Source organism: Homo sapiens, chromosome 6 (assembly GCF_000001405.40).
Source record: "Homo sapiens chromosome 6, GRCh38.p14 Primary Assembly".
Classification (NCBI taxonomy): domain Eukaryota; kingdom Metazoa; phylum Chordata; class Mammalia; order Primates; family Hominidae; genus Homo; species Homo sapiens.
In genome coordinates, this window is record NC_000006.12 from 135,054,858 (window position 1) to 135,068,046 (window position 13,189).

The following is a 13,189-nucleotide window of genomic DNA, read 5'->3' on the forward strand; positions in this document are numbered from 1 at the left end:
CCGCGCGACGGCAATGCCTCAGGGTCACTGTCCGCCTCCCTGAGGGCGCATGCGCACTGCTGTGCATGGCGGGACGAGGGGAGGGAGCGTTTGGGAGTGGCCCCACCCAAAGGTTGGGCGACGGAGGGGGATGGGGAAATCCGCCGCCTAGAATTGACTGGTTTGGACTAAATGTTGCAAGCGGGGAACCTTGAGCTACCTACGCCAGCGTTCTGGATTATTTTCCAAATTTGGTTCCTGATAATCTGAGAAAGCTATGCGCTCAGTAAGAGCAGGGACCTTGTTTTATCAAACTTTGATCTTTCATTAAGCACACAGTGGGCATTCAACAAACTTGTGTAAACTTGGAATCAGATTTAGCCCAGGCCGGTGCGGTGGCTCCTTCCTGTAATCCCAGCACTTTGGGAAGCCTAGGAGGGCGGATCGCTTGAACTCAGGTGTTCGAGACCAGCCTGAGCAACATAGCGAGGCTCCGTCTCTACAAAAAATACAAACACTAGCCGGCCCTGTGGTGCAGACCTGTAGTCCCAGCTACTGAAGAGGCTGAGGTGGGAGGATCCCCTGAGCCCAGGCGGTCGAGGCTGCAGTGAGCTGAGATCGGGCCTCTCCATTCCAGCCCGGGCGACAAAGTGAGTGAGACCTTATCTCAAAAAAAAAAAGAGTCCAAGCTTTAGAGAAGGAAATAAGGCTATTTTTAAACGGGTATATATTATTAAATTGAGACCCTGGCTATATTAGGTCACCCTGCATTCATATAATTTACGACTTCATGTATTCACTCCGTTCGGCATTACTATCCCTAGTAAACAGCGATTTGCCCTTAGCTATGTAAACGATTTTAGCTATATAGACGATATTTATCAGCATCATAAAGAAGGATTCACTGAACATTCATTGAAGACATAATTGTGTGTAACATTGCGAGTATTAAATATAGCTTTTTAGACATAGCACTGGCCTTAGGTGGTAATGCTGAATGTTGTTGATGCATGAATCTATAACCTGCTATTAAATGTCCTCATTTCTCAGAACATAAAGTTAATAATGCTATATAAGAAACCAACCTCATTATACTGAACACCACTTCAGTTTTAGCTTGTGTTTTTGAAATGATGATACTTCACATCAAAGGCAAATGTTGAGTTCTAGAGATAATTAAAAGCTTCCTCAGCTTTTTGCTATGCACAATAGAAAGAAATAAGAGTAATCCAAATTTAGTTTATATTTGTAAGTGGCTTGGAACGTAATTTATTCATGCATTTGAATGTGTTTGACTACAAAAATAGTTGTTTAATGTGGCTCCAAAATAAAAGTTTACAGAAAAATAGAGATAGTTGCTAATGTTACATGGCTTAAGTGTTTTTATTATTTTACACCCTTAGGTAATTTTTATTTTGCAGCCTGTTTCTTTGTAAAAAGGAGATAGAGACACTAACTCGCGAGCTGTGAATAATGTATCCGTATAAGAGGATTTATCACAGATCATAGTAGGTGCTTAAAAATATTGTGTTATTGGCCGGGCGCGGTGGCTGACTCCTGTGATCCCAACACTTTGGGAGGCTGAAGCAGGCGGATCATGAGGTCAAGAGATCAAGACCATTCTGGCCAACATGGTGAAACTCCCTGTCTACTAAAAATACAAAAATTAGCTAGGCATGGTGGCGCGTGCCTATAGTCCTAGCTACTCGGGAGGCTGAGGCAGGAGAATCGCTTGAACCCGGGAGGCAGAGGTTGCAGTGAGCTAAGATTGTGCCACTGCACTCCAGCCTGGAGACAGAGTGAGACTCTGCACCCCCCCAAAAAAATTGTGTTATTAAAATACAAATGGCAGCTTCCACTCCACTGTAATTGTCAATTACAAGCTTAACTACAACTCACTGAGGTATGAAGTGAATGAGTTATAGACCACATAAGCAAAGTACTACAGGAACAATGAATAAGAAAACGTTACTTCTGTCAGATAATATATAATTTGCCCTTAGGTCGTCAATAACGCACTCCTTTAAAACTCTAAATATTGCACAGCATCTACTGCATCTCAAACAGTAGAGCCTCAATGGCAAAGCCTTCACTGACTTCTTCAGAAAAAGTTAGGATTGTTCCACTCCCCTCAGGACTCTGTAAGGTGTGGGCAGGGCACCGTGGCTCACGCCTGTAATCCCAGCACTTTGGGACGCTGAGGCGGGTGGATCACCTGAGGTCAAGAGTTCCAGACCAGCCTGGCCACCATGGTGAAACCCCCATCTTCCACTAAAAATAAAAAAAAATTAGCTGTGCGTGGTGGTGGGTGACTGTAATCCCAGCTACTCGGGAGGCTGAGGCAGGAGAATCGCTTGAACCCAGGAGGCAGGAGTTGCAGTGAGCTGAGATCGTGCCACTGCACTCCAGCCTGGACAACAAGGGCAAAACTCCGACTCAAAAAATAAATGAATAAAACTCTGGTATTGTGTTTTGATGGAAAGTACTATGACTTCGGAGTACCACGAACCTGGATTTCAGTCCCAGTTTTGTTGCTGTTAACCACTTCAGATTTAATGTCTTCATCTGTAAAATCGAATATATGAAAATGTATGTCTTCTGTTTTGTGAAAAGTAAATGATATATGTAAAAACAGTAGGTGTTGCAGAATGGGTACTCAGTAAATGCCACTTCTCTACCCCTACTAATTTCAAAGCTTTATCTTTGTTTCTCCGGCACCCTAATGTCTGGCACTTTAAATGTTTGCTGAATGAATTAATGAGTAAAAGAAGAGAAATAAAATGACATTTCTCTTGCTATGGAATTGTTAATGTCATAAAAAACAATACAAATCATTTTATATTGATTTGTGAAAAAAATTATGAATGAAAGGATAACTACATTACTGAAAAAATGTTAACAACTTTATTGAGATATCATTGACAATAAACTGCACATAATGTGTAATTTTGATACATTTTGACGTATGTATACACCAGTGAAGCCATCAACCCCATCAAGATAATGAACATATCCAGACTTTCAAAATTTTCCTGAAGTACCTTTATATCCAGAATAAAAATTCCAGAATATCCCGGAATCCTTCCTGCCCGTCAAGGCCTCCTCACCATGGCCCCTCAAAATAACTGATCGTCTTTCTGTCACTATGAGTTGTTTGCATTTTTTAAAATTTTATACAGGTGAAATCATATAGTATGTGTTCTTTTTTATCTGTCTTAATTCACTCAGCATAATTATTTTGAGATTCACCTGTGTAGTTGCTTGAATCAACAGTTCATTCCTTTTTATTAGAGGAGGATTCCGCTGTGTGGATATACCACAATTTGTTTTTCCATTCACCCATTGAGAGATATTTGGTTTGTTTTCCATTTTGACGACTGTAAATAAGGCTTCTGTGAATATCTGTGTACGAATCTTCGTATAAACATAAACTAATTTTTCCTGGGTAAATACCTAGGAGTAGAATGATATGATAGGTTATCTTCAGCTTTTTAAAGAAACTGTCAAACTGTTTTCCAAAAACAGTTGTAAAGTTTTATGTTTCCACCAGCAATGTAGTTCCATTTTCTCTATTTTCTCAACATCATTGCCAACACTTCATGAGGTCTAAAGATGTTAAGCTTACGGCCGGGCGCGGTGGCTCATGCATGTAAATCCCAGCACTTTGGGAGGCCAAGATGGGCGGAGCACAAGGTCAGGAGTTTGACACCAGCCTGGTCAACATGGTGAAACCCCATCTCTATTAAAAATACAAAAAACTAGCCGGGTGTGGTGGCACGCACCTGCAATCCCAGCTACTCGGGAGGCTGAGGCGGGAGAATTGCTTGAACCCGGGAGGTGGAGGTCTCAGTGAGCCGAGATCACGCCACTGCACTCCAGCCTGGGCGACAGAGCAAAACTCTGTGTAAAAAAAATAAAATTAAAAAAAGTCAAAATGATAGTTACTTTTGAAGTAGATATTAATGGAGTCAGGAAAGAGAGAATTAAAGGGAGCTTTCAGAGGTGCTGGAGATGTTCTATATATTGATCTGGGTTAGGATTATAAGGTTTTATACATGTATACAATTTTATTTTACTGTACATTTAAAATTTATGCACCTTTCAGTAATAAGTTATACCTCAATTTAAAAACCAAATTAAAAAATGCAAAAATTTATTAAATGGAATTTTCATTCCTGTCTTTAATATATACATATATGTCAGATGTTTCCTTTATGCCTCATAGTGTTGTTTTATTTATTTATTTTATTTTATTTGTATTGACAAGTTCTCACTATGTTCCCCAGGCTGGTCTCAAACTCCTGAGCTCAAGCCATCCTCCCACCTCCACCTCCCAAAGTGCTGGGATTACAAGCATGAGCCACCATGCCCAGCATATAGTGTCCTGTTTTAAAGATCTAAGCACTGTGATACATCTGAGTTAGAATTTACTTAACAATATATCAGTATTTCTCAGAGTATAGTCTGTTCTTCATCCTGTATTTGAAACTAAACAATTACTCATCCATTTACACTTAAAATTTTCTGTTGTTCCTGAAATAACACTGTCCTTGTTAGCTACTTAAATACTCATATGAGGTTTGGTAAATAAATTATAGTGACGCTTCTACTCCATAACTATTAAAAAGAAATGAAGGAATTGATCTTAGTCATTAAGAAAGGAAGAATAAGGCTGGGCGCGGTGGCTCACGCCTGTAATCCCAGCACTTGGGAAGGCTAAGGCGGGCAGTTCAAGACCAGCCTGGCCAACATGGTGAAACCATGTCTCTACTAAAAATACAAAAACTAGCCAGGCGTGGTGCCGGGAGCCTGTAATCCCAGCTACTTGGGAGGCTGAGGTGGGAGAATCAGTTGAACCTAGGAGGCAGAGGTTGCAGCGAGCCAAGATCGTGCTACTGTACTCCAGCCTAGGTGACAGAGCAAGACACCATCTCCAAAAAAGAATGGGAGGGATGGAGGATAGTTATAATTGTGACATTAGACATGGTATATAAGAAAAGTTCTAGAATTTTCTAGTTAAGTGTCTAGGAAAGTAGGGCCTATGCTACAAACTAGAAAATGTCATGGGTGTGTGGGAAGATCCTTTGGGGTCCTTTGCAGTTTTGCAATTGTTTTGAGGACTTGTGAATTATACTTGTTATTATATGTTAATAATGTAAATCTGCTCATCTTGATTATTGTCACCAAATATCTGTAAAATTTATAAACAGATGTATTTATTTTCCTGTTGATATGCCGAATTACTTCTATAACCCTCTGTCTCAACGAATGATATTCTTACCTTCCTATTTGCAATTCCCCCTGACTACTTTCCTCACATATTGTTCTCTCTTTCTCTCTCTCTCTCCCCCACTCCCTGCCCCTTTGTTTCTTGACAGAAATCCAGCTAAGTAAAAATTGGCAAGATCCTGTGACAAGATCCTGTGACAAGATCCTGTGATCAAGACAAAGTTTTGCCCCCAAAGGACTTGAGGCTATCTGGGAATTCCATGTTTGACAGAAGCGCTGACAGCATAACCAAGCAAACAAGAAGGTATTCAGGGACGCTGAAACGGATCTTCAAAGAAGACTCAGTGGGTGATTTTTAATTTCTGTGTAGTATTATAGAGCTTAATGCAGAACATACCAAAACCTTGGAGAGGTAATGATAGGGTCATGCATTTCATAAGGCAGAGTAATGCCCTGCAACAACAAAATAAAGTCAAAGAGTTCTACACTGAGCCATGAACCACTAAATGGGGAATACCAACAAAATAACACCACCTGGGTGAAATCTGCTTCCTGCGTAGATAGGTTCTTTCAACCACCAACCCTAGGCTTTCCAGCTGTCAAGCACTTAATCATGAAATATAATAATAAAGATGTTTCAGGAGTTCCTTATGATACTTATTCAAAAGTTCATATTGTTCTAAACTCTCTAATAATAATCAGTTCTCCAGGTTAAACATCTTTCAATGGAAGCACATTATTTACAAACTCAGTCCAAACCCTTAGAAGGACATAGGAGTTCCACTATGATGTCAATGCTGCCTGGTTTGCCACCTCACCTGCCACCTCTCTACCACCAGACGTGGGGCACTCTACATCAGCTCCTACTTTTATGGTTCCAAGTCCAGCCATGGTCTTCCTGACTCGGGACATTCACACATACTAATTCTTCTGCTTAGAATGCCCATCTGTCCCCATTCCCTCTTTATTGCTCAGCAAAGCCCAGTTTCCATCACACATTCTGCGACACCTTCCTTGACTCTGCAGAATAAGTGTCCCTCCTGTGTGCCTTAAAGCACAGTATTTGTTTCTGCTACAACACACATTAATAATATTCTAATTGTCTATGTTTTCTTCTACCCCTCTCCACTTCCCCAGTTAGATGTAAATTCCTTAAAGGCAGGGACACTCTAGTTTATTTTATATCTCTTGCATCCAGTGTAGTGGCTGGTACAAAACTAGAATAAATAAAATAAATGTTATTGAATTATTGTTGAATAAAGTTATAACATGAAAAATAAATATATTTGTAAGAAGTTCATTACTTTGGAGACCAATATCAGTAATATTCTGGAGAAGGACACCATCTGCAAGGAATGAGAGAGTGCAAGAGAGTGCGTAATATGGCAGTGAGAGCTATAAGTAGAAATTTCTAGATTTAAAGGTATCTTTTGTATATACCCCCCAAAAATGAAAACTTATGTCCACATACAGACTTGTACATGAATGTTCATAACAGCATATTCATAGGAGTCAAAAGTAGAAACAACTGAAATGTCCATTAACAGATGAATGGAAAAATAAAATGTGGGCTATTCACAGAGTACACTATTATACAACAATAAAAAGAAGTGAAGTACTGATAATAAGCTTCAACATGGATGAACCGGAAAACATTACATGAAGTGAAAGAAGCCCCTCTTCTGAGTTGGGTGGGAATACTTCAGTGAAAAATGAGATACTTATTTTCTGGATTCATCCTGGTCTGAATCCAGGCTTGCCAAATATACCTTGTTATTGTATGCACAACCAAAAGAAATACACATTTCATGATTCTATTTACTTGAAATTTCCAGCACAGGCAAGTCTATAGAGTCAGAAAGTAGGTTAGTAGTTGCTTAGGGATGGGGAGGTTGGGGGAAATGAGGAGTGACTGCTAATGGACAGGGGCGTTTCCTTATGGGGTGATGGAAATGGTCTAAGATTGGGGGTGTTGACGGTTGTGCAACTCGGTAAATATACAAAAAAAAACACTTAAAAAACTGTACACTTTAAATGGGTAATTTTTTTTAAGACAGGGTTTCATTCTGTCACCCACTCTGTCATGCCACCATGCCCAGCTAATTTTTTTTTTATTTTTGTAGTAATGGGGTTTTGCCATGTTGCCCAGGCTGGTCTCAAACTCCTGAGCTCAAGCAATCCACCTGCCTCAGCCTCCCAAAGTGCTGGGATTACCGGCATGAGCCTCCGTGCCCAGCCTAAATGGGTAAATTCTGATATAGGAGTTAAGAAGAAATTACTGGGCCAGGTGCAGTGGCTAATGCCTGTAAAGTCCCAGCACTTTGGGAGGCTGAGGAGAGTAGATCACCTTAGGTCAGGAGTTTGAGAAACTCCGTCTCTACTAAAAATACAAAAATTAGTTGGGAATGGTGGCATGTGTCTGTAATCCCAGCTACTCGGGAGACTGAGGCAGGAGAATTGCTTGAACCTGGGAGGCGGGGATTGCCGTGAACCAAGATCACGCCACTGCACTCCAGCCTGGGCGACAGAGCCAGACTCCGTCTCAAAAAAAAAAAAAAAGAAAGAAAAGAAATTACTTAGACAGATAGTGAGGGTATAGAAGACCTCGGTAAGGTTTTCCTTTAAATGAAAAGCAGCCCCAAGTCATTTTGCTTACTAACAAAGAGCAGCCTGTAAAATCGAGCTGCAGACATACAAGCTGGCAGTTGTTGTCAATTGTGTTCAAAATGGCGACTCCATCTTCCCTTCTTGGCCAGCCAGGTGTACAGGAAGGAGCAAACAAAGTGGCACCGGACAAGGGGAAAGTTCATTTGCATAATAAGATTAGGGTGGGGCGGCCAGCCTTCTCCTGAGCTATGTAAACCTAGTACCTGATTCAACCAATCTGTGAGCCCTATATAAATCCGACACCACTTCCTCCAGCCTGACTATAAAATCTGGCGCATCCACCAGCTGGTTCTTTCCTCTCAGAAGTCCCTTCTCTCTCACTAGAGAGAGCTATTTTCCTTTATCTTTCTTTTGCCTGTTAAACCTCTACTCCTTAACTCCTCAGGTGTGTCCGTGTCCTTAATTTTCGTGGCACGAGATGATGAACCCCAGGTATTTACCCCAGACAAGGTAGCTGCTTCAATTCTATGGTGTTAATTATATATCAATATAGCTCTAATTTTTTTAAAGAGTCTCTTTCAGTGAAACAATCTGTTTTAGATGTTCAATCTTTTTTTTTTTTTTTTTTTTTTGAGACGGAGTCTCACTCTGTCACCCAGGCTGGAATGCAGTGGCCGATCTCGGCTCACTGCAACCTCTGCCTTCCGGGTTCAAGCGATCCTCCTGCCTCAGTCTCCAGAGTAGCTGGGACTACAGGCGCGTGCCACCACCCCCATCTAATTTTTGTACTTTTAGTAGAGATGGGGTTTCACCCTGTTGGCTAGGGTGGTCTCAAACTCTTGACCTCAGGTGATCCACCCACCTCTGCCTCCCAAAGTGCTGGGATTACAGGTGTGAGCCACTGCACCTGGGCGGTATTCAGTCAATTTGAAAGCAGAGAGCCACCTGAGAAACATGGGTGCAATGAGAAGCTTCTGTAACTTCTGTAACTTGGAGGCAGAGAAGGAGAAAGGTCTGGCACAATGGCAATTTCTGTAATGATTATAAGCCACTTGGGCAAAAAGCTCTGTTCTGCAATTTACCAAATGTGTAATCTTTTTTTTTTGAGACAAGGTCTTGCTCTGATGCCCAGGCTGGAGTACAGTGGCACAGTCTCGGCTCACTGCGGCCTCAATCTCCCAGGCTCAAGTGCTCCTCTTTCCTCAACCTCTCAGCGTAGCTGGTATAAACCAAAAATTTCTAAGGCCCCTCAGTCATCTGAATGGACCCTTTCTCTTGGCCAACGGCATTACAGAGTTAACATGAAAATCTAATTCTGGCCGTGATGGAAGAGGGTGTTGGATATGCCTCATTATACCCCTCCAGCATTAACTTCAACACAGACCTTAAGTGTGACAAGAAACATTTATAGTCTGCCCTCTTTGAAGCCTGCTCCTGGGAGGCTTCATCTGCATGATAAAATCTTGGTCTCCACAATCCCTTATTGTGAGCCAGACATTCCTTACTACTGATAATAACTTTTTCAACCAATTGCTAATTAGAAAATTTTTTAATCTACCTATGACCTGAAGACCCCCAACTTGACATTGTCCCGCCCTTCCAGATAGAAGCAATGTAAATCTTACATGTATTAATTGATGTGTTATGTCTCCCTAAAATGTATAAAAGCAAGCTGTACCCGAACACCTTGGGCATGTGTCTTCAGTACCTCCTGAGGCTGTGTTATGAGTGCATTCTTAACCTTGGCAAAATAAGCTTTCTAAATTGAGACCTGTCTCAGATACTTTTGGGTTCACGCTGGGGCTGCAGGCTCGCTCCATCACACCCTGCTAATTTTCTTTATGTTTAGTAGAGACGAGGTCTTGCTATCTTGCCCAGGCTGGCCTCATACTCCTGGGCTCAAGGGATCCTCCTGCCTAGCCTCTTGAAGTGCTGGGATTACAGGCATGAGCCACTGCATAAACTTGGGCCAAATGCTTCTCATCTCAGGGCCTTAGTTGTCACACTGTAAGATAGAGGATAAAAATTGAACTACTCTAAACAGTTGTGAAGATTTGAATGGCTTAATTCATTAAAGCATCTAGAGCAGCTCTAGGCACATAGAAAGTACTCCAACAATGCTTGTATTCTTCTTTGGCCCCACTGACTTCCACTGCACAGGACAGATTTCATTTGGGTCTTGAAAATTATGAGATGAGGTTGGTCTGGTTTGGTTGCCTGGGTGCTGACATCACTACTGTTGCCCTTGAACTTTATCACTGCATCCGGTGATGAGGCCCTCAGGAGGCCTCCCTGTCTTTATGTCACACCTATTGGGCCAACAAAACATTTAGCATTTTCTTGCCCCTTGGTAGGGCTCATGATTGTCAAGTGTTTTCTCAGCTCTATGCTGCGGCATGCAACACTCAGTGAGACTGCCCTCGGTCACTCCTTTCAGTCCCTAGCCAGGTAATATCACTACCCTCCTGCCCAACTCTCAACACTGCACCATGCCAAGTAGGAGGCTTTTTTGAGGGACTTTCAGCCTTTCCAGGTTATGTTCTCAAGAAATTAGCACAGCTTGGCCAGGCACGGTGGCTCACGCCTGTAATCCCAGCACTTTAGGAGGCCGAGGTGGGTGGATCACCTGAGGTCAGGAGTGCGAGACCAGCTGGCCAACATGATGAAACCCTGTCTCTACTAAAAATACAAAAATTAGCTGGGTGTGGTGATGGGAGCCTGTAATCCCAGCTACTAGGGAGGCTGAGGCAGGAGAATCGCTTGAACCCATGAGGCAGAGGTTGCAGTGAGCGAAGATTGTGCCATTGCACCTGGGCAACAGAGCAAGACTGTCTCAAAAAAAAAAAAAGAAAAAGAAAAGAAAAGAAAAAAAAGAAATTAGCATAGCTCCCAATATTGCTGGATATATCCAGTACATCTGGAAATCTTTAATACAACAGCTTCCATACAGGTTGAAGAGAACTGTCCATTTTGAGTACAGTACTTTAAGAAAGAAAGTTGGGTGGGAATATTTCAAAGATGAAATACTTATTTTCTAGATTCATCCTAGTCTGAATCCAGACTTGCCAATATACCATCTTAGTGTATGCACAATTTCTTCTAGGATTTATAGACTGTCTACCTCTGGGTATCATCTTAGCGCTCCAAGTGTATGTATAATGTAGGGACACATACAGCTTTTCAGCCATGGGAAAGAGGTGTGTCTGCAGTATAAAATGCTGCAAGGCACCAACGGAATGTTAATGACAAATCAAAGGACAGAGCATCTTTAAATCCTAGGGGAAAATTCAAAGCAAAGAAAATTTGCAAATCAAATTTAAACCAGAAAAAAAGCATACACATAAAAGGTAGGGTTTTAAAAGGTAAAAGCGGCTCTCATTAAAAGTCATTTAAAACACTGAACTGTTTGAGGAATTTCCCTTCCTTGCCCTGTCATGCTCTGTTTTCTTTGAAAAGGCAGAAAATGGGCTATAGTGTCAATGTGTTGTTTAGAAACCTATATCTAGAAAAACTCTAAGAAAGGAGTAAAATAATTTAAATCAAAACCCTTTCAGCCACTAGATATTGTTCTTACTAGATTTTCTTCAGAAAGACAAGTTGGAAAATGGGAACGGCCAAAGGGAAGCACTTGTTTTCCTTCTCACCTCAATATGTGTATAGGGTTGAGCCATTGCTCATCTTGAAAAACTTGGATATGGGACAGTCACACAACAGTGTTGCCTGTATATTGGGCCATAGACTTTGCAAACTATCCCGTAAAATTTATTAGAAGCTCTGAAAAACTTTCACACTTAGAAGAGGCCACTTGATACTAATTGCCTGTGTAATTTTACCAGGGGTCATTTAGAAGGCTTTGGTTTCTAATTTCTGTTTCTCTCAGGAAATGGTTCAATATGATTAGTCATTTTCTTCATATTTGTTCATATTTCCTTATTTCCTGACTTGTGATGGTTTTATTAGGCAAGAGTTGCTTTTGACTCTGGTTGAGATACACATAATCACACTGATATAACTAGAAGTTTTTAAAGCCATGTTTGCATTTAGATAAACAGAATAGATATTAATCCTTTTCAAGTAGAACACTGGGCAAAAATTAGTCCTTTATGTTTCCCGTTATGACTGTGGTATTGTGGTAGATTATATTTTCCTAAGATGTCCACACCAGTACATTCTATCCAACATGATCTTCTTTCCATGTAATACTGACTGATATGGTTTGGCTACGTGTCCCCACCCAAATCTCATGTTGAATTGTAATCCCCAATGTTGGGGGAGGGGCCTGGTGGGAGGTGATTAGATCATAGGGTCGGATTTCCCCCTTGCTGTTCTCATGATAGTGAGTGAGTTCTCATGAGATCTGGTTGTCTGAAAGTGTGTAGCACTTCCCTCTTTGCTTTCTCTCTCCCGCAGCCATCTGAAGGTGTGTTTGCTTCCCCTTCATCTTTCCACCATGATTGTAAATTTCCTGAGGCCTCCCAGCCATGCTCCCTGTACAGTCTGTGAAACTGTGAGTCAATTAAACCTCTTTTCTTCATAAATTACCCAATCTCAGGCAATTCTTTATAGCAGTGTGAGAACAGGCTAATACACCGACTCTTCTCCACCAAGAGATTGGGAGACTCTGCCTTTGAGACATACTTTTCCATTGAGAGATCTTTCCTCCCCATAAAACTGGGCGGACCTATGACTGCATTGGAAGCCACATTACGTACCTGCTAAAGCTGGCCATAAAAGGTGATACGGCTTTCACTTGGTCCTCTTTGGATGCTCACCCTCAGAACCCAGTCGCCATAATACGAGGAAGGCAAACAGCAATTTGGAAAGGCCATATGTAGGTGCCCAGTAGTGCCTTTGCTGAGATTCCAGATGACAACCGGCCTTCATGACCAGACATGTATGTGAATGAGGCTTCAGATTATCCCAGTGTCCAGCCTTCCAGATACCCCAGCAGATGCTGAGTGGAATAGAGATCATCTGTCCTCACTGATTCTACCCAAGTTGCAGAATTGTGAACAAATATAAATGTTTATTTTAAGCCACTAAGTTTTGGGGTTGTTGTTTAGCAATAGATAACCAGAATAATTATCAACCCAAAAAACATCTCACAGAGACAGTAGTAAATACCGCCATGTTACATGTCTATAGACTCTCATAATTCACAAAAATGCTAATGATAGTTATATAAAGTTAATTATAAGTACTATTGATTCGGATTATTTATATGACAAAGAATACAAGTTTAGAGAGTCTGCTTTAAGTGAGATTTTCTTTGGTCACTAGTCACAATTCTGAAAACTGCCTCCTACGTATACCATAAATAATCATAAAAGATCTTTTTATTCTACCCCATTGAAATGTTACACTAAAACGAATC

General features: G+C 41.3%; 2 long non-coding RNA genes across 2 annotated transcripts, besides 2 other annotated features; one reads left to right on the top strand and one right to left on the bottom strand.

The window, feature by feature from the left end:
- On the top strand, positions 36 to 6,489 carry LOC124901405 (uncharacterized). The gene is made up of 2 exons (XR_007059775.1): positions 36 to 629; positions 5,358 to 6,489. It is a non-coding gene; the product is annotated as an uncharacterized LOC124901405 (long non-coding RNA).
- Positions 124 to 173: an enhancer, noted in NCBI's record as "active region_25097". NCBI's record gives its function as "activates an Ori minimal core promoter by ATAC-STARR-seq in GM12878 lymphoblastoid cells {active_cell/tissue: GM12878}" and the evidence as "EXISTENCE:reporter gene assay evidence [ECO:0000049][PMID:35858748]".
- On the bottom strand, positions 2,861 to 3,879 carry LOC124901406 (uncharacterized). Its single transcript, XR_007059776.1, has 2 exons — positions 3,762 to 3,879; positions 2,861 to 3,432 (listed from the first exon to the last, which is right to left on the bottom strand). It is a non-coding gene; the product is annotated as an uncharacterized LOC124901406 (long non-coding RNA).
- Positions 12,109 to 12,198: an enhancer, noted in NCBI's record as "active region_25098". NCBI's record gives its function as "activates an Ori minimal core promoter by ATAC-STARR-seq in GM12878 lymphoblastoid cells {active_cell/tissue: GM12878}" and the evidence as "EXISTENCE:reporter gene assay evidence [ECO:0000049][PMID:35858748]".